The 22,043-nt window shown below is 40.8% G+C and overlaps 1 protein-coding gene across 10 annotated transcripts in view; it reads left to right on the forward strand.

The window, feature by feature from the left end:
* WASF3 (WASP family member 3) overlaps positions 1-22,043 on the forward strand; it is a 149,810-nt gene that overhangs the window by 90,545 nt on the left and 37,222 nt on the right. For 9 of the 10 annotated variants that reach the window (XM_024449315.2, XM_047430060.1, XM_047430064.1 and 6 more), the window contains exon 3: positions 12,578-12,720. In XM_024449315.2, coding sequence (XP_024305083.1) covers positions 12,588-12,720 — 133 coding nt within the window. In that variant the 5' untranslated portion in view covers positions 12,578-12,587. Of the gene's footprint in view, positions 1-12,249; positions 12,421-12,577; positions 12,721-22,043 lie in introns of those variants that run through there. The other variant, XM_011534890.2, reaches the window with a different exon arrangement.

Here is a 22,043-nt window from a genome sequence, read left to right on the forward strand (position 1 = left end):
GGCTTCCTGCTCATGGGACTCACTTGTATCCTGTGGTTCTACTGTGGTTCAATCTTGAATGTCCCATTTCTATTTTATGGTCAACTGCTGCTAGTTTGAATTAATAACTTGACTGACAGAACTTAGCTCATTCTGGGGAGCTTTGCATGCCTGGACCCCTGGTTCTCTGTGATCTCTACCAGGTCTTGGTAATATAGTACATTTAATACTCTGATGTGATGGCAGGTCCTAGGGCCTTGCCTTTGATTCTCCTGCTGGAGCTTGCCACAAACTCCATATTGTCCTGTTTTCCTTATTTTTTAAATTTTTCTTTTATTTTTATTTATTTATTTTTTGAGTCTCAGGGCATTTATTTTGTAAGGAACATGTTTGAAAAGGGGCATTTTAATTATCCTGTAAATGTTTTTACCTCAGCAATAATGTTTACATAGCTAGTAATCATGGCTCTCAGGCATGATGAGTTTTACTGTTGTTAAGTTTTGTTTTGTTTTTATACTTAAAGTTCTAGGGTACATGTGCACAACATGCAGGTTTGTTACATAGGTATACATGTGCCATGTTGGTTTGCTGCACTCACTAACTCGTCATTTACATTAGGTATTTCTCCTAATGCTGTCCTTCCCCCAGCCCCCCAACCCCCAACAGGCCCTGGTGTGTGATGTTCCCTGCCCTGTGTCCAAGTGTTCTCATTGTTCAATTCCCACCTATGAGTGAGAACATGCAGTGTTTGGTTTTCTGTCCTTGTGATAGTTTGCTGAGAAGGATGGTTTCTGGCTTCATCCATATTCCTGCAAAGGACATGAACTCATCCTTTTTTGTGGCTGCACAGTATTCCATGGTTTATATATGTCACATTTTCTTAATCCAGTCTATCATTGATGGACATTTGGGTTGGTTCCAAGTCTTTGCTATTGTGAATAGTGCCGCAGTAAACATACGTGTACATGTGTCTTTATAGTAGCATGATTTACAATCCTTTGGGTATATACCCAGTAATGGGATCGCTGGGTCAAATGCTATTTCTAGTTCTAGATCCTTGAGGAATCACCACACTGTCTTCCATAATGGTTGAACTAATTTACACTCCCACCAACAGTGTAAAAGCATTGCTATTTCTCCACATCCTCTCCAGCATATGTTGTTTCCTGACTTTTTAATGATTGCCATTCTAACTGGTGTGAGATGGTATCTCATTGTGGTTTTGATTTGCATTTCTCTGATGGCCAGTGATGATGAGCATTTTTTCATGTGTCTGTTGGCTGCATAAATGTCTTCTTTTGAGAAGTGTCTGTTCATATCCTTTGCCTACTTTTTGATGGGTTGTTTTTTTCTTGTAAATTTGTTTGGTTCATTGTAGATTCTGGATATTAGCCCTTTGTCAGATGAGTAGATTGCAAAAATTTTCTCCCATTCTGTAGGTTGCCTCTTCACTCTGATGGTAGTTTCTTTTGCCATGCAGAAGCTCTTTAGTTTAATTAGATCCCATTTGTTTATTCTGGCTTTTGTTTCCATTGCTTTTGATATTACTGCACAGGGACTCATGGAGTCCTGAAGTCCTTGCCCATGCCTATGTCCTGAATGGTATTGCCTAGGTTTTCTTCTAGAGTTTTTATGGTTTTAGGTCTAACATTTAAATCTTTAATCTGTCTTGAGTTAATTTTTGTATAAGGTATAAGGAAGGGATCCAGTTTTAGCTTTCTACATATGGCTAGCCAGTTTTCCCAGCACCATTTATTAAATAGGGAATCCTTTCTCCATTTCTTGTTTTTGTCAGGTTTGTCAAAGATCAGATGGTTGTAGATGTGTGGTGTTATTTCTGAGGCCTCTGTTCGGTTCCATTGGTCTATATCTCTGTTTTGGTACCAGTACCATGCTGTTTTGGTTACTGTAGGCTTGTAGTATAGTTTGAAGTCAGGTAGCGTGATGCCTCCAGCTTTGTTCTTTTTGCTTAGGATTGTCTTGGCAATGTGGGCTCTTTTTTCGTTCCATATGAACTTTAAAGTAGTTTTTTCCAATTCTGTGAAGAAAGTCATTGGTAGCTTGATGGGGATGGCATTGAATCTATAAATTACCTTGGGCAGTATGGCCATTTTCACAATATTGATTCTTCCTATCCATGAGCATGGAATGTTTTTCCATTTGTTTGTGTCCTCTTTCATTTTGTTGAGCAGTGGTTTGTAGTTCTCCTTGAAGACGTCCTTCACGTCCCTTGTAAGTTGGATTCCTAGGTATTTTATTCTCTTTGTAGCAATTGTGAATGGGAGTTCACTCATGATTTGGCTCTTTGTTTGTCTGTTATTGGTGTATAGGAATGCTTGTAATTTTTGCACGTTGATTTTGTATCCTGAGACTTTGCTGAAGTAGCTTATCAGCTTAAGGAGATTTTGGGCTGAGACGATGGGGTTTTCTAAATATACAATCATGTCATCTGCAAACAGGGACAATTTGACTTCCTCTTTTCCTAATTAAATACCTTTATTTGTTTCTCTTGCCTGATTGCCCTGGCCAGAACTTCGAATACTATGTTGAATAAGCATGGTGAGAGAGGGCATCCTTGTCTTGTGCCGGTTTTCAGAGGGAATGCTTCCAGTTTTTGCCCATTCAGTATGATATTGGCTGTGGGTTTGTCATAAATAGCTCTTATTATTTTGAGGTACGTTTCATCAATACCTAGTTTATTGAGAGTTTTTAGCACAAAGGACTGTTGAATTTTGTCAAAGGCCTTTCCTGCATCTATTGAGGTAATCATGTGGTTTTTGTCGTTGGTTCTGTGTATGTGATGGATTACGTTTATTGATTTGCATATGTTGAACCAGCCTTGCATCCCAGGCATGAAGCTGACTTGATCATGGTGGATAAGCTTTTTGATGTGCTGCTGGATTTGGTTTGCCAGTATTTTATTAAGGATTTTCACATTGAAGTTCATCAGGGATATTGATCTAAAATTCTCTTTGTTTATTGTGTCTCTGCCAGGCTTTGGTATCACGATGATGCTGGCCCCATAAAATGAGTTAGGGAAGATTCCCTCTTTTTCTGTCGATTGGAATCGTTTCAGAAGGAATGGTACCAGCTCCTCTTTGTACCTCTGGTAGAATTAGGCTGTGAATCTGTCTGGTCCTGGACTTTTTTTGGTGGGTAGGCTATTAATTATTGCCTGAATTTCAGAGCCTGTTATTGGTCTAGTCAGAGATTCAACTTCTTCCTGGTTTAGTCTTGGGAGGGTGTATGTGTCCAGGAATTTATCCATTTCTTCTAGATTTTCTAGTTTATTTCCATAGAGGTGTTTATAGTATTCTCCGATGGTAGTTTGTATTCCTGTGGGATTGGTGGTGATACCCCCTTTATCATTTTTTATTGTGTCTATTTGATTCTTTTCTCTTTTCTTCTTTATTAGTCTTGCTAGTGGTCTATCAATTTTGTTGATCTTTTCAGAAAACCAGCTCCTGGATTCATTGATTTTTTGAAGGATTTCTTGTGTCTTTATCTCCTTCAGTTCTGTTTTGATCTTAGTTATTTCTTTTTTTTTTTTTTTTCTTGAGGCAGAGTTTTGCTCTTGTTGCCCAGGCTGGAGTGCAATGGCGTCATCTCAGCTCATCACAACCTCTGCCTCCCGGGTTCAAGCAATTCTCCTGCCTCAGCCTCCCGAGTAGCTGGGATTACAGGCATGTGCCACCACGTCCGGCTAATTTTTTGTATTTTTAGTAGAGGTGGGGTTTCTCCATGTTGGTCAGGCTGTTCTCAAACTCCTGACCTCAGGTGATCTGCCCACCTCGGCCTCCCAAAGTGCTGGGATTAAAGGCTTGAGCCACCACAGCCGGCCGATCTTAGTTATTTCTTGCCTTCTGCTAGCATTTGAATTTGTTGCTTCTTGCTTCTCTAGTTCTTTTAATTGTGATGTTAGGGTGTCGATTTTAGATCTTTCCTGCTTTCTCTTGTGGGCATTTAGTGCTATAAATTTCCCTCTACACACTGCTTTAAGTGTGTCCCAGAGATTCTGGTATTTGTGTCTTTGTTCTCATTGGTTTCAAAGAACATCTTTATTTCTGCCTTCATTTCGTTATGTACCCAGTAGTCATTCAGGAGCAGGTTGTTCAGTTTCCACACAGTTGTGCGGTTTTGAATGAGTTTCTTAATCCTGAGTTCTAATTTGATTGCACTGTGTTCTGAGAGACAGTTTCTTGTGATTTCTGTTCTTTTACATTTGCTGAGGAGTGCTTTACTTCCAATTATGTGGTCACTTTTAGAATAAGTGTGATGTGGTGCTGAGAAGAATGTATATTCTGTTGATTTGGGGTGGAGAGTTCTGTAGATGTCTATTAGGTCCACTTGGTGCAGAGCTGAGTTGAAGTCCTGGATATCCTTGTTAACCTTCTGTCTCGATCTGTCTAATATTGACAGTGGGGTGTTAAAGTCTCCCATTATTATTGTGTGGGAGTCTAAGTCTCCTTGTAGGTCTCTAAAGACTTGCTTTATGAATCTGGGTGCATCTGTATTGGGTGCATATATATTTAGAATAGTTAGCTCTTCTTGTTGAAGTGATCCCTTTACCATTATGTAATGGCCTTCTTTGTCTCTTTTGATCTTTGTTGGTTTAAAGTCTGTTTTATCAGAGACTAGGATTGCAACCCCTGTTTTCTTTGCTTTCCATTTGCTTGGTAGATCTTCCTCCATCCCTTTATTTTGAGCCTGTGTGTGTCTCTGCACGTGAGATGGGTCTCCTGAATACAGCACACTGATGGGTCTTGACTTTTTATCCAGTTTGCCAGTCTGTGTCTTTTAATTGGGGCATTTAGCCCATTTACATTTAAGGCTAATGTTGTTATGTGACAATTTGATCCTGTCATTATGATGTTAGCTGGTTATTTTGACTGTTAATTGATCCAGTTTATTCATAGCATCGATGGTCTTTACAATTTGGCATGTTTTTGCAGTGGCTGGTACCGGTTGTTCCTTTCCATGTTTAGCGCTTCTTTCAGGAGCTCTTGTAAGGCAGGCCTGGTGGTGACAAAATCTCTCAGCATTTGCTTGTCTGTGAAGGATTTTATTTCTCCTTCACTTATGAAGCTTAGTTTGGCTGGATATGAAATTCTGGGTTGAAAATTCTTTTCTTTAAGAAGGTTGAATATTGGCCCCCATTCTCTTCTGGCTTGTAAGGTTTCTGTCCAGAGATCCACTGTTAGTCTGATGGGGTTCCCTTTGTGGGTAACCCGACCTTTCTCTCTGGCTGCCTTTAACATTTTTTCCTTCATTTCAGCCTTGGTGAATCTGACAATTATGTGTCTTGGGGTTGCTTTTCTCGAGGAGTATCTTTGTGGTGTTCTCTGTATTTCCTGAATTTGAATGTTGGTCTGCCTTGCTAGGTTGGGGAAGTTCTCCTGGATAATATCCTGAAAAGTGTTTTCCAACTTGATTCCATTCTCCCTGTTACTTTCAGGTACACCAGTCAAACGTAGATTTGGTCTTTTCACATAGTCCCGTATTTCTTGGAGGCTTTGTTTGTTTCTTTTTACTTTTTTTCTCTAAACTTGTCTTCTCACTTTATTTCATTATTTTGATCTTCAATCACTGATATCTTTTCTTTCACTTGATTGAATCAGCTATTGAAGCTTGTGCATGCGTCATGAAGTTCTTGTGCCATGGTTTTCAGCTCCATCAGGTCATTTAAGTTCTTCTATACATTGTTTATTCTAGTTAGCCATTCGTCTAACCTTTTTTCAAGGTTTTTAGCTTCCTTGCAATGGGTTAGAACATGCTCCTTTAGCTCGGAGAAGTTTGTTATTACTGACCTTCTGAAGCCTGCTTCTGTCAACTCGTCAAAGTCATTCTCCGTCCAGCTTTGTTCCATTGCTGGCAAGGAGCTGTGATCCTTTGGAGGAGAAAACGTGCTCTGGTTTTTAGAATTTTCAGCTTTTCTGCTCTGCTTTCTCCCCATCTTTGTGGTTTTATCTACCTTTGGTCTTTGATGTTGGTGACCTACAGATGGGGTTTTCATGTGGATGTCTTTTTTGTTGATGTTGATGCTATTCCTTTCTGTTTGTTAGTTTTCCTTTTAACAGTCAGGTCCCTCAGCTGCAGGTCTGTTGGAGTTTGCTGGCACTCCACTCCAGACCGTGTTTGCCTAGGTATCACCAGCGGAAGCTGCAGAATAGCAAACATTGCAGAACAGCAAGTATTGCTGCCTGATGCGTCCTCTGAAAGCTTTATCCCAGAGGGGCATCCGCCTGTATGAGGTGTCTATCAGCCCCTTCTGGGAGGTGTCTCCCAGTTAGGCTACATGGGGGTCAGGGACCCACTTGAGGAGGCAGTCTGTCCGTTCTCAGAGCTCAAACGCCATGCTGGGAGAACCACTGCTCTCTTCAGAGCTGTTAGACAGGGACTTTTAAGTCTGCAGAAGTTTCTGCTGCCTTTTGTTCAGCTATGCCCTGCCCACAGAGGTGGAGTCTATAGAGGCAGTAGGCCTTGCTGAGCTGTGGTGGGCTCCGCCCAGTTCAAGCTTCCCGGCTGCTTTGTTTACCTACTCAAGCCTCAGCAATGGCGGATGCCCCTCCCCCTGTCAGGCTGCTTCCTCACAGGTTGATCTCAGACTGCTGCACTAGTAGTGAGCAAGGCTCCGCAGGTGTGGTACCCACCGAGCCAGGCACGGGAGAGAATCTCCTGGTCTGCTGGTTGCTAAGACTGTGGGAAAAGCACAGTATTTGGGCGGAAGTGCCCTGTTTTTCCAGGTAGTCTGTCATGGCTTCCCTTGACGAGGAAAGGGAAATCCCCTGACCCCTTGTGTTTCCTGGGTGAGGCAATGCCCCGCCCTGCTTTGGCTCGCCCTCCATGGGCTGCACCCACTGTCCAACCAGTCCCAATGAGAGGAACCAGGTACCTCAGTTGGAAATGCAGAAATCACCCATCTTCTGCGTCGATCATGCTGGGAGCTGCACTGCAGACCAGAGCTGTTCCTATTCGGCCATCTTGGAACAGAACTTATTTTTATTTTTTACCACCAATATCTCTGCTGGGTCATACAGCCTTAGCAGCCAGGCTGTTTGCACCACAGCCTAGACCTGCTGAAGGGTCCTTTCTTGCCTTGAGCCCCACTCAAAACTGGCAGCTGCCGTGTCATGCAGTCTGTAGACCAGAGCCATATCACAGGTGTGTTGCCCCCAGAACCCAACCTAATCAGCACTGGGCTTCCTCAGCATTGGGGGATGCAAGATATAACAAATTGTCTTTTCCTTAGGAGGAGATACCCAGCATGCCTCTGAGCACTGGGTCCCTCAGAACTTCACCGCAGTTGCCAGACCCTGAATCTTCACAGGGCTTATCTGCCACCCTCTGGAGCATGTGTGTCTTACCAAGGGCTCCTGTGTGCTGGCCACCCTGTGCTTAGTCTGTCCAGTCAGCATGACGGTGTTGCTCTCTTTCCTCTCTTAGGCCCAGCACTTTCACAGCTAGGTTGTTGCTGGAATTCGTATTTTGTTATCAACTTAGCATCCAGAAAGAAGAGTTGCATGTAATGCCTGCAGGGGGAGGGTACCTGCTGCCCTGTAGGGGAGAGGCCTCTGCAGCATATTCCAGCTCAGCCAAGTGCAAGCCCAGAGAGTCCCAATTGAGGGACTTGCAGGTAGGTTGTTTAGACTCAACAATATCATAGGCATTCATCTAGAATTCCCCATCCCAGTTTTCAGAATGCTGGGTTTTCTCTCTTAGGGCCCAGACCTGCATACTTCACTTGCCTTGGCTGAGATTTAAACATTTCCAGCTCTTACTCTCACAACTGGACCTTGGAAATGGGAAACCCACAGCTTTTCATTCTGTCTGCCCATCCAATTCAGATGGTGGCGAAGACTGCTTTGTACCCACTAGGAAGGCCCTGTTGCCCTCACATTTAGCTGTTAACTGCTTGTTAACTGCAGTTCAGTATCCCGTTATCCTTATGCAGGGCATTAGTACAATTTTAGCACTGACTAGCCAACTCCGCTGCTTTTCTGGAATTTTTCCACTGAATCTGCATTATTGCCTTGGACATGAAAGGTATCCCTTCATTTGGACATTTTCCAGGTCACCGTCACTGTAATCTTTAGCAATCGAGCCATGACCTGTGCCAGGGACTACCCTCCTATCAGGATGGCATCCTCAACTGCAGAGTGGTCTGTGAGCATGTCCCAGATCCCCCATCTCACCACCTGCTTTCTCAGATCATTCTCAGGGCACTTGGGTTTGTCTGGGTCTGAGCAACAGACACCAAGGTGGGATCACAGCTATAGGATTTGATTAAGGATATCACCTATGTGAAAGAAAAGGGGGTAGAAACTGGGGAGGCTGAGAGAGCCATCAAACCACAGTGCAAACCTGACCCTTGCAGTGGGGAGGAGAGGGGGTTGGGTGTTAGCGAGCTTTCCTAGTCTGCCATGAGGTCTAAGGGAGATTCAGCAGAGCCGATGAGGGGTTCTTGTCTTTAATTCACCTTTGTCAGCTTTTCTCGGTTATTTCATCCTGATTTCTTGCTGCAGACTAGTTTTGTCATTCTCCATTTCATGTGGTGGGAGTTATCCATTTCCATAGTTGAAGACAGCAGCCAGACCAAGCTGGATAGCATAGTCCCACCTCCAAATTCTTAGGGAAGGACCCTGGCCCAGTTTCAGCCATGTCTGGGATCTAGTTCACAGTTAGGTGAACCAGGTTTTATCTCTCTAAACTGAGACATTTCCCAGAAAAGCTGGACAAACTACAGACCTAACACTAATACTTTATATAACCTCTAATAGTCCTAAACATTTTATTAGCAATCATTGTTTTATTCTTCACAGACAGACTGACTTTGAAGAATGATTTGGATGGGTCATAGTTCTTCCAATAAAGGAATCAAGAGGCGTACTTAAGTATTCTGTTGGTGACTAACTGGATCAGTTCATTAAATGTTTGTTTTTGTAATTGCAAAGTATTTTCAAGGGTAATCACTGACCCAGCATTTTTTCCTTTGACTCTTCCTCGCTCTTCAATTTATTCAAAACTGAGTTAGTGTTAGAGACGATAAAAGCTGTCTGGGAGAAGAATACATTTGTTAGAGTACGCTATGGTTTGGATGCAGTTTGTCTCCATCAAAACTGATACTGAAATTTGATCCCCCAGATGTTGGGAGGTATGGCCTAGTGGGATCTCTTATGAATAGATTAGTGCTTTCCCTATGTGGTAAGTTCTCACTCTTGTGGGAATGGATTACTTCCTGTGAGGGTGGGTGGTTAAAAAGAGTCTGGCTTCCTTGGTTTCTGTTGTTTCTTCTCTCACCATGTGATCTCTTTGCATACACCCACTGTCCTCCTATTTTCCACCATGAGTGGAAGCAGCCTGAGGCCCTTACCAGGTGCAGGTGCCCAGAATCATAAGCCAAATAAACCTCTTCTCTTTATAAACTACCCAGTCTCAGGTACTCTGTATAGCACCACTAAACTAAGACAAGTAATTGACACTGAATTTGAAAACCATAAAAATCATTACTACATTATTAGAACTTTAAAGAAGAGCTGCAAAGCCGTCTTTTCTGAAGTTGTAGACAGGTAGCATGGCCTCTCTCTCTTGTCTTTTGTATTTATACAGGCATAGGAGTTCCAAATAGAGGTTTAATGAACATGAGAAATGAAGGCTGGGGATTAATTAGTCAAAGCTGAAATACTGCAACAACAATATATGAAGTACCCCAAGGGAAGGCCAAAGAGAAATATATATGTAAATGTCTATGGCTGTACAATCAGCAAACATTTTTTGAATAATCAGGTTGTGTCGAGGGCTGTTCAGGGCATTGTGGGGAACACAGAATTCATGGACTCAGTCCCAAATTCAGGCAGCTCATAGTTCATCTGGGAAGAAGACAACTGTGAGTCCTGCCTCTGCCAGGCACAGAGACCCCTACAGTTTGCTTGGGATGGTTAATGGGGAAATGAATGAAGTGCCGACATGTTGTCCCTTCCAAATCCCTCTCAGAGCTCCCTGTTGCTCTAAAATAGAGTGTATTTATAGAAAATGTGAGGTATAGTGAGGTCAACAGATTAGGAGACAATTGCCATAGAAAAGATAGCTTGTTACAGTTCCCAAGAGGAGGGGGTCACAGCACACCACGCAGGGCCACATAGGAAGCACAGGGTCCTTGAGGAGGCAGAGCGGGACGGGGAGCTGTGGGCCGGAGTCTTTTTTGTGGTTTCTGTGGGAAGGAGTGGACAAAGGGGAAGCAGAGTCAGGATTGGCGGGTTTGAATAATTTCAGTGGGCTCTCAGCTTGGGGGCTGTTTCTACTTGTCTAGTAGTTTGGCCATGGGGTGATGTGCAGGTGGGTAGTGGCTAGGAGTGTGAGAGCCACATCGAGGAGGTGATAGGTGTGATAGGTGTGTGGGCTCTGGATTGGTTGGTTTGCATTTTGAAGAGGGCCCTCTTGGGTGAGCTGTTTTCCATCTATTGGAATTAGTAACCTTGGGAGGATGGCACCAAGCTGTCCACCCCCATGATCCAAAAGTTTCCCACTGGGCCCCACTTTCAATACCTGAGATCACATTTCAACATGAGATTTGGAGAGAACAAACATCCAAACTATATCCCTAATCTTGTCAAAATGAAAATATATTCCAGTCATTGGATTTTCTAGTATTGTATGAAGATGAGGCTGGTTGTATGATTAGGAGGTTTGAAACTCTATAAACTCCTTAAGTAGGAAGTTAAGATTTTATTTATCATCTCTTTTTTTTTCTTTTTTTTTTTTTAAGACAGTCTCACTCTGTCACCCAGGCTGGAGTGCAGTGCCACGATTTTGGCTCACTGCAATCTCTGCCTCCTGGGTTCAAGGGATTCTCCTGCCTCCTCCTCCTGAGTAGCTGGGATTACAGGCATGTGCCACCACGCCTGGCTAAATTTTTTTTTGTATTTTTTGTCGAGATGGGGTTTCACCATGTTAGTCAGGCTGGTTTCGAACTCCTGACCTCAAGTGATCCACCCACCTTGGCCTTCCAAAGTGCTGGGATTATAGGCTTGAGCCACTGAGCCCAGCATATCATCTCCTTTTTGAGGAGAGGGGTGAAAGGGATGCCTAGGATGTTGGAGAAGGCTTTTCTGAAGTGTTTGGTGATCCTTGACTCTTATTTAAGTCTGAGGCACTAAAAGCTGGTGCACTCTGGGTGCTTGGGGAGATTTTGACAGGTGTTACTGCCTGGGTGGCAGTTTCAGCAGGGGAAAGCCTCCCTCCCCAGTGTTCATATTTGTAGATCTTTTCTCTTCAAACATTCCCCAGGAAGGAATGCTCCAGTGTTTTTGGATGGGAGTAAAAGCCAGGCTGCCTGTGTTCTAGGAGCCAAGTGGAACAAGAGGTTGGGGAGCTGTCTCACCAGTCATTGTAGACTTTGATTTAGTATTCCTGTTTCCAGTACATTTCCTCCCCTACCTTTAGCTATGCCTAGAGTCCCAAGTTCAAATTCTTTAATTTACCTTTCTTTTCCAGAGAGTAAAACATCCTGGGTTGGGTGGAGGAAGACAGCCCAGGAAGGGAGAAGGCATTCTTAAAAGGAGTTTTAAAAGCCACCCCACCTGTTTTATCTCCCCTCAATTCCCGTTTCGCACTTACCTGGTGCCTCCTACTCCTGAGCCTTTTGTAGGGAGGGAGAAGGTTCTGTGGCTCAGGTGGGCTTACTTGCTTGGGTTGGTAAATGGGGACATTGACCTGCTGCCCCCAGTTAGCAGCCTAGGTGTACCAAAATGCCAGAGGTTTGTCTAGGTCCAGTTGCGTGCCACACAGAAAGCCAATCACTGAGACAATGAGTGTTGCTAGGGAAGAAAGCTTTGATTGGGTGCTATAGCTCAGGAGATGGAGATAAGCCTCAAATCCATCCTCCTGACCTACTAAAATTAGGGGTTTATGTAGCAGGAAGAAAGGTAACTATATGTGAGAAAACAGGAATTAGGGAGAGATAAGGAAGAGGAGTTGGTCAACAGGGAACAGGTGGTCTTAAGCAGTCATGATGGGTGAGGAGTCTGACTTCTCATGGTCCAGATGAGATGATCTAGTAAGTTTTAGTTTTTTAATACTACCTGGAAGGCCGGATGGATGGTTGCCTGAGAAAGCAATTCAGATAAGACAAATGTAACTTGCTCAGGCTTCAAGACTCGGAGGGTCAATTTCTACGTTTATTCAAAGAAACCATAAACACCAGTTCTGTGGGACAACTGGGGTGATGTCATAATGGTGGCCTTTCCTGTCTCTTAATCTGGTTAAGTGGTCTTCAGGTTTGTGGCTTGTGTCTCCTCTCTTGCTCTTGATACATGTGGACTTTTTGCCTTTCCTCTCTCTCCTCATTTCAGTGAAGAGAGAAGTCAGAAATATGGAATATATTATTTTTCTATGAAGTGAGATTATACTATACATGTACCTTCAGGCTCTATAAAACTCACTAAAGTAATTCACTGTTTGTTGCATTTTAGCTGATTCTGTCACATAGAAATTTTAGGATAATGAAAATTCCTGGAAAATAGTCAATTTTCAAGGGAATTAAAATTCCAGATTTGTTAAAATGTGAATATGAGCTTATAAAGAATGTGTTTTCAATTTTCAGATTGTGAACCATGCCTTTAGTGAAGAGGAACATTGAGCCCCGGCACTTGTGCCGGGGAGCTCTGCCTGAAGGGATTACCAGCGAACTTGAATGTGTAACCAATAGTACTCTTGCCGCTATCATACGCCAGCTGAGCAGTCTGAGTAAGCCATCTTTTTTCTGATTACCAATGACATTAACTTTTTGTTAGCAAATTGATTTTAATAGTTAAATGATTGTCCAAAGAAGAGATTGCAGCTTTAAGGAAAAGATCCTTTCTCCTTCTGTATTTCCCAGTATGAAATTGACCACTGCACCTGTACTGGGCTTGTGATGCTTAACTTTAGGCAATGAAGATGTGATGCTCTTACCAACTCACAAATTATTAGATGAGATCAAATGTACAGATTTAAAATAGTGTTAATTTTTAAAAGCTTTTGAAAATGAAGATAATTGGTAATTTTTTAAACTATCAATTATTATGAATTATTTTGTTAAACTTGAATAGGACCAATTGTTTTGTTTTTTAAGTGTAATAGATTGAAAACTAGTTAACACCTGTAATATGCCTGGCACATAGTACCTACTTAATAAATATCTGTTGATTGAATAACATCCCAAATGAACCATAGTATAAAGCCAAACAATAGATTTGCTGATTTTAACCTACTAAAAGTTAAAATGCAGATACTGATTTCTGCATTGAGGTGAACAGATCAGCTGGTTATTTTATGTATATGGTACCACGTATATATTGGCATGCATAGATGTATGGCAAATGCAAGCTAGGAAGAAAAGGCTGCTTCTTATTCTCATTTTGAATATTAATATTAAATATCTGAAGAATATTTTATAAGACTCAAATATGCATGAAAATGCTTTTTCCTTCAAAGCTTTTTGAAGTTGCACTATTTTCCCCCAAACTTTTACATTTATTTTCTGATCTTGTTTTCTCACTTCATCCTGCTCCTTTTCAGTTTAGGTGGTTTATGTGGCATTTTTGGTGACAGGTTTTCACAGTTAAATTTTTCAGAAACTCTGTTAATAACTAGAAAATCTTCCATGAAATGTCCCATATTGGTAGCCTCAAGCGAAGGGCAAATTTTTTTTTAACTCAACTACTTTTATTTATCTTGAAGAAACGCTGCAGGTAAGTATTGGTTTCTTTAATAGAGTTGTACTGTATTGTTACGGATATATTTTTAATAATATCTATAATCATTAGCTAAGGCAAAAGTATGTAAAGAAATTACATAAAATGTTTTTTAAAATAAAATTTTCCTGGAATCTAAGCTCTTATGATTGACTTTTGGTAGTGGTAATTGATAAAAATATACAAATTCACATAATTACATGAAGACTGCTTGTAAATTATTGAAGGGTAAAATTGTTTTTGCGTGTATTTATTTTTGTAGGAATGCTTTTAGTCTCTTGTTTTTATGGCTGAAATGCCTGTTGGCACAAAGTGTAAGTGATGAAAGCCGACATAAACTGTCAGAGTTTTAATAATCAATCTGTATCTCATGCTGTAATAATCGGCGGAGTGTTGTGTTAGTTGTGTTTATGGTGTTTGCTTGGCCACAGTCTCCTGTAAGTGAATCTGCCCACACAGTATGCCTTGTTCTACATGGCCCTTGTGGTAAATAGAATAGTAATAGCCCCTCCGGATATGTCCATGTCCTTATCCTTGGAACCTGTGGATGTGTTATGTTACGTGTAAGAGGGAATTAGGATTGCTAGTCAGCTTACTTTAAGAGAAGGAGATTACCCTGGTTTATCTGGTTTGGTTCAGTGTAATCCACAAGGGTTCTTTAAATGGGAAAGGAGGGAGGTAGAAGAATCAGTGCCAGGGTGACGTGATGTGGGAAGGACCCAACTGCCATTGCTGGCTTTGAAGATGGAAGAAGAGGGGCCATGAGCCAAGGAATGCAGGCAGACTGGAGAAGCTGGAGAAGGCAAGGAAATTGGTTCTCTCCTGAAGTCCCCAGAAAGAACACAGATCTGCCCGTACATTAGTTTTAGCCCAGTGAAATTCGTTTCTGACTTCTGACATCCAGAACTGTAGGATAGTAATTGGTGTTATTTTAAGCTGTTATGTTTGTGGTAATTTGATACAACAGCAATAGGAAACCACTCTAGCTTTGGTTGTGTTTTGTACCACCCAATCCACTGTAGCCTCATGATTGGGCCGGGGCTGGGAACCTGCCTAGTGGATAGTCAGTTCTGAGTTACGCTACTGCAGTGCATCTCAACCTGGCTTCTCTATCAGAGTCACTTGGTGAGCTTTAAAACAGGATGCTAGGAATCACCCGAGAGATTGTGCTTCCGGTAAGCACCAGAGATGACCCACAAAATTAGACACCCATGTGTCTGGATGGAAAAGATGAGCTGGGTGAGTCAGATCCTTTCAGGAAGTTCGAACTAAGAAATGCAGTGAATTTGCTAGTCTCTTATGAGACCTACTGCTAAAATGTCATCTGGGGGTGAAAAAGCCGTAATGACCACCGGTTAGGCAGAGTTGTGGAGGGGGCTGAACCCGGGAGGAAGCAGAAGGAAGCCAGTTGATGAGGAAAGGCAAAAGAAGGATGTACAAAGAGAAGCAAGAACATGAGCGAGACCGCAAGGCCCACAAGGTGGAGGCAGCAGCTGCTTCTTGACCTGCCCAGGATGGCTTTCCCCTCCCATTTGTGGTGCAGGGCTTGGGTGTCCTCACAGTGACCCTTCCTCACTTCAGGTTCGTTGAGTGCATCTGGGGCTTACAACCCAAAGAGCATTACAGAAAGAGAAGCACAGTGATATATACTGCCAAGGATATAATTTTGGAAAACGAAGATAACTGAGTGCAATGAACTGAATGTTTGTGTCTCCCAACAATTCCGCGTTGAAATCCTAATCCTCATTGTAATGGTCTTTAGAGCTAGGATTTTGGGGAAGTAAGAGGTCATGAGGTGGAGTCCTCATCAATAAGATTAGTGCCCTTATTAAAAAGGCCTGAGAGAGACACCTTGCCCCTTCTGCCTAGTGATGCCAAAGCAATGAGGCACTGTCTTGAAGAAGAGAGAGCAACCCTCACTAGACACCAAATCTGCTGGCACCTTGACTTTGGAATTCCCAGCCTCCAGAACTGTGAGAAATAAATTTCTATTGTTTATAAGCCACCTACTCTGTGGTCTTCTGTCATAGTAGCTCAAATTGCCTGTGACACTGAATTACTGATTGGTGATAGAATATCAAAGTAGATTATCTGTAGTTTATTAGTGTTTATTCATTCATTCTTCTTTGTATTTCATAGAATTATATCTCGTATCAGGTACATGATTGTGATTATCAGCAGCCTAAAGTAGTAGTCTTCCTTAAAAGATGCCGTTTTATGGGAGTAGACATTCTCTGTTTTAATCTACTATTCTTTTACACACGTTGTCTGGCAAAATAAATAAAAATATAAATATAAATGTGAGACAGGTGGAAAAGGAAAAATATGTGACCTGTAATCAAGAGAAACAGAAGTCAGTCAGTAGAAGCAAGACCCACAGATGACCCCAATTTTGGAAATAACTGATGAGTACTTTAGAATAGTTATGAAAAATTTATTGAGGGGTCATCCAGTTTCTGGTCTGGCTTTTAAAGAGTTTGGAAGTCACTCCTGTCTACACAATAAGAGGAAGTTCAATAATCTGAAAACCAGCCTTTTGAAAGATCCATGTAAGAACTGAAGTTACAGGACAAACTGATGCCCCCAAATTTGGAAAGTAAGTACAGGGGACAGCAAATAACTTTGAATTGGGTTCTGCTTAGAAGTTAACCACATTTATAATTTTAAAAATAATTGATAAGTCACATCAACATGATTATAAAGTAGGAAACAGATATGCAGTTATTACAACCTGCTACAAGACAACACTAGCACATAGTAAATGATGTCAATGTTTTGCATGAATCTTCAGTTGTTCGTGGTTTGCCACTGGATATTAATATATTACAGGGGATGAGGAAAGTTATATGCAAATATATATGAGCTAAAGTTGTTAGGAAGAATAAGAGAATGTAAAGGAATGTTTTTATGTTATTTTTAAATTTTGTAATCATTCATCAGGTATTTAAAAATTTTAGGAATGTATGAGCCTATAGTATTAAAAGTCTTCTTTTACAGAGTGTTCATTCCTGTGACAAAGTCAAAACATAATCTGTTTTTAAATTCCTTTGGGTACTTACCCGGCCATTATTCAGTGGGTCCAAATGAGAATGGATCATCTTAATCCTCCCCACTTCACTGCTCACCCCCCACACCTGTGTCACTCCCCTCCCACCCTTACCTCCACTCCCCACAGCAGAAAATCATTTTCAGGTACAGATTGGGATAGATGATGTTTAATTATCTGCTTCCTGTAAGTGATACAGAGGGGGACTAGACTTTCTCTACATATGTATCTTAGGGGAAACACCAGTGCAACTTAGGGATTTGCCTTGAGCCTGCCCTGGTCATCCCTGCTTGAGCAGCAGGAACTTGCCCTGGGAGACCTACTGTGAAAACCCAGGGCAACTAATTGTTCTAGGGAAGGAAAAACAGACCAGGACTCCACAGGGAGTTTCTTTGGTCTTTTCTAAATAGGAAGAGAGTTACCTGATCATTCTGATTCTTGTCACACTTATGGAGACAGTTCAGGGTCATGAGGATTTAAATGACTTTGCATAAAGCAAGAAAAGAATCTGGTCTTAGATAGCAAATGGAATTCTGAAGGCCCTACAACTTTACATAACTTTTAGGAAATCTGTAGGTTTTTAGCTCTGGATATGCTCTTACTACATCCAAATCAGACACTTCACTTCAAGGGCCAGAAATTTTGTCACCGTTAAATTTTTAACAGGCTTTTTAGGGAATTGAAATCTTTCCAGTGAGACTATATTGAATTTGGTAACAGTCATAGAAATGAAAGAGAGGAAATTTGTAACATGAATGACGATATAGTTTAAAAAGATCACCACATTCAAAGGTTTGTCCAATAATTTTTTTTAAGTCTGTTTTAATTTTCAGATTTTTTTCTTTGAGTGTTACTTCTGATACAGTACAGTGTGAGCAATCAGAGTGGCTGGGGGAGGATAGCCGCTTGGCAAACAGTTTTAGGTGTGTTACTTGGTTTTCCAGCTAGGGAATTTTGATTTTTTTTTCTTCAAATAATGACAGTTTAGTGTTAATTAACATTAAACCGGGAGTGCTTTTTCATCATTTTCCTTGATTAATAATCTGAATGCTCTTGTTCCTGTCAGCTAGTTGATCAATTAAAATCACAGTATCTTGTAATCAGATTCCTACTGGTATTATGATGTAGTTTCAATATAATTTGCTTAAAAAGGAGATGACATTTGTGCCAAGGATGACAAAACTTCTTTTTAATACCTCATATGTATGGTTTTGCTACTTTTTTTTTCTTTGTTCTTGTGATAATAGCTGTTTTTCGCTCCTCCCCCATAAAATTCTTCTCAGGATGTCACAAAGAAAGGAGTTAGAAATTTAGTGAGCCCTGCCGAAAAAAAAAAATTTGGCGACATTAATGGTACTATTAAGATAATATAGAAAATTTAGCATAGAAACACACAAAAGAGTCAACTTTACAAAATTCCGTTAATCAGAAAAAATTGTAATACTTTGAACATATTTTTATACAGATGGTATTTCATTGTACATATGGTTTTATAGCCCATACTCACTGTACAGTAAACATCTGTATTCTTATAAGACACATTTTTGAATAGCTGGAGATTATTATATTGATACACCATAATTATTTAACCATTTTACTAATGTTGGACATATAGTTATTTGTGGGGGAACGCTATTATAAATTCTTACTCAAAATAATTACATACATCTCTGGTTGTTTTTGATTTTTTTAAAAAAGATTTCTTATGTCTTAGGAGTCATCAGGCTTCTTCATAATGAGCAGGGATAGTCGTCATAAATGGCCCAAAATCCTGTGACTCCATTAATTTTAAATATGCTTCTCTCTTTGCAAATCATTATAAAATCTATTTAATTTTCATGTGTGGAGTAATTGTACAAATGAGAAAGGAAGTCTGTTTTCTTTTCAAAGGTTTTTAAGTGATTGTTTTTATTAATACTCCTTAAGACACACATTGTGTTTCCCAGTCAACCAAATGCACTCTAATTCAGTTGCTTTATATAATTGGATCTGAAATTTGGAGGTGTGTTAATTGACATAAGTGCAGTTCTACTCAGGATAAAGATTTAAGAATTTTAAAGGCATGCGCTGAATAACTTTCTTGGATGTTTTTAGCCAAACAAGATTTTTTGGGGAGGTGAGGAAGATAGAACACAGTTTATGAAGGAACTAGATTATAAGTAAATTTCTGTACAGTTTGAGGCTAGGGTTGTGGGTAAGTTAAGATAAAATATATTGAGGTGTCCGACCGAAGTTGACTGGGAGGAACACAGCAAGAATTTAAGAATTTTTAATGCTGCAAACTTATTTTTGCATCTCTCATGAACAAAGAAAGCCAGTGCAGGTAGGTAAAAAGTAATGTATACTTAGGAAACTAGAAGATAGAAGTTCTGTCAGCAGGAGAATTGATGGCAAGTATAAGAGCCCCACCACCCCGACAAAAGGCAGGATTATAGGGGATTCACACTCTCATTACCCATTGACCCGGAATGTCAGAAATACTTTCTTAAGGGTATTGTAGAAGTAATTATTAGTTAGGTTTTTTATTTCTCCTTCCTCCATATGGATTTTAATATAGCAAGATTTAATGCATCATAATTCTTAGGAGCACAAGTTAGAGAGTCAGCCAAATCTGAATTTTCAGTTCTGGCTATCACTAAATTTATCTGGTTTTATCATCTCTCTTCTTTGTATTTCATATAATTTTATCTCATATCAGGTACATGATTGTGATTATCAGCAGCCTAAAGTAGTAGTCTTCCTTAAAAGATGCCGTTTTATGGGAGTAAACATTCTCTGTTTTAATCTACTATTCTTTTACGTACGTTGTCTGGCAAAATAAAAATATAAATATGAGATAGGTGGAAAAGGAAAAATATGTGACCTGTGATCAAGAGAAACAGAAGACAGTCAGTAGAAGCAAGACCCACAGATGACCCCAATTTTGGAAATGGCTGATAAGTACTTTCGAGTAGTTATGAAAAATTTATTGAAGGGGCATCCAGTTTCTGATCTGGCTTTTAAAGAGCTTGGAAGTCACTCCTGTCTACACAATAAGAGGAAGCTCAATAATCTGAAAACCAGCCTTTTGAAAGATCCATCAAAGAACTGAAGTTACAGGACAAACTGATGCCCCCAAATTTGGAACAGAAAGCCTTGTGGGAACCGTTTCAGGGTTGCAGAAACTTGGTGAGTTGCTGGAGGCTCATTGAGGACAAGTTTGAGAGTTAAAAGCTCCAGAAGGGCCCAGTCAGAGGGGCTTCCACACTTGTGTGTTTTTCTGCCAGCAACCTTACCAGGTTCTTACATTGAAGATTGGAGAAAAATCTCTTTGTTCGTCCATTCAGGAGAGGGGAATGGACTTTAAAACAAGCCCAAAACATCTGGGCACGGTGGCTCACACCTGTAATCCCGGCACTTTGGGAGGCTGAATCATGAGGTCAGGAGTTCAAGACCAGCCTGGCCAAGGTGGTGAAACCCCGTCTCTCTAAAAAAATACAAAAATTAGCCAGGCGTGGTGGTGGGCACCTATAATCCCAGCTACTCGGGGGGAGAGGCAGAGAATTGCTTGAACCCAGCAGGCGGAGGTTGCAGTGAGCAGAGATCACACCACTGCATTCCAGCCTGGGCAACAGAGTAAAACTGTCTCAGAAAAAAAGCGCCCAAAACATTTGACTCTTTTTAACATGCCTGCCCTCAAAAGAAATTATTTCAACAGAGCCTAACAGACTGAGATTTTACCAGAGCTTAACAGACCTGGTTGGAGGGAAATACCCAACTCCAGTCCCTTCTGGTCGTCCTGCCTAACCTGAGGGGAAGCGGGAGTGAGACCCAGGGCCCCAGGCTCACTAGAAGACTGAGACCCCAGTCATAGGACTGTATAACACTCCCTTTTCACTGCCCCTCACCCGACACCCTACCAGCACAGCATTAAAGGCCTGTGTAGTGGGATTCCTTTCACCTTGTTTGTCATGTCTGGTTTTCATCAGAAAATTACAAAGCATACTAAAAGGCAAAAAACACAGTTTGAAGGTACAGAGCTAGCATCAGAACAAGATTCAGATATGGGAGGAGTGTTGGAATTGTCAGACCAGGAATTTAAAAGAACTATGATTAATATGCTGAGGGATCTAATGGAAAAGTAGATAACATGCAGGGACTGATAGGTAATGTCAGAAAGATGGAAATTCTAAGAATCAAGAAAAATATATTGAATGTACTGCAAAAGATGAACAACGTGTGAGGAAATAGCAGTTTCAGCAGAGAAATGGAAATCATTTTTTTAAATGCCAGAACTGAAAAATACAGTATCAGAAAGAAAGAATTCATCTGATGGACCTAATAGCAGACAGGACCCAGCAGAAGTGATTGGTGAACTTGGAAATAAGTTAATAGAAATTATTTAAAGTGATTCACAAGAGAAAATGAATTTAGAAAGCAACAACAAAATTTTAGAGCATTCAAAATATGGGACCATATCAAATCGTCTGACACATACGTAATTGGAATCTCAGAACAAAAGGAGAAAAAGAGAAGGAATAGAGCAGAAGTAGTAATGGAAGATAAGTTTTGAATATTGATGATAGATATCAACTAACAGACACAAGAAACTCAGCAAATTCCTGAAAGTATAAAGAAAACCACGTCATAATAAAATTGCTAAGGAGGCCAAGGCAGGTGGATTACTTGAGGCCAGGAGTTCGAGAGCAGCCTCGCCAACATGATGAAACCCCAACTCTACTAAAAATACAAAAATTAGGCTGGTACAGTGGTGCATGCCTGTAGTCTCAGCTACTTGGGAGGCTGAGGCATGAGAATGGCTTGATCCTGGTGGCAGAAGTTATAGTGAGCTGAAATTGCACCACTGCACTCCATCATAGGCAACAGAGCAAGACTCTAAAAAAACACAAAAAACAAAAACCAAAAACCAAAAATTTTGCTAAAGGAACAGAGATGAAGAGAAAATCTTAAAAGAAGAAAGAGGAAAAATATACATCATGTAAAAGAAGGGAACAATGTTAAGGATGACAGCTGACTTGTCATCAGAAACATTGGACCAGAAAACAGTGGGTAAGTGCTAAAAGGAAGAAACTTGTCATTCTATAATTCTATAGTCAGTGAAAATATCTTTTAAAAATGAAAGACATTTTGTTCAGACAAAAGTCTCAGAGAATTAGTCCTCCAGCAACCTGTACTACAAAAAATTCTTAACGCTTCAGGGAAATGATACCATTTGGAAACCTGGATCTGCAAGGAGTCCAGACAAAGTAAATATGGGATTAAATAGAAAAGGTCATCAATAATTAGGT

This window comes from Homo sapiens, chromosome 13 (genome assembly GCF_000001405.40).
Source record: "Homo sapiens chromosome 13, GRCh38.p14 Primary Assembly".
NCBI lineage: Eukaryota > Metazoa > Chordata > Mammalia > Primates > Hominidae > Homo > Homo sapiens.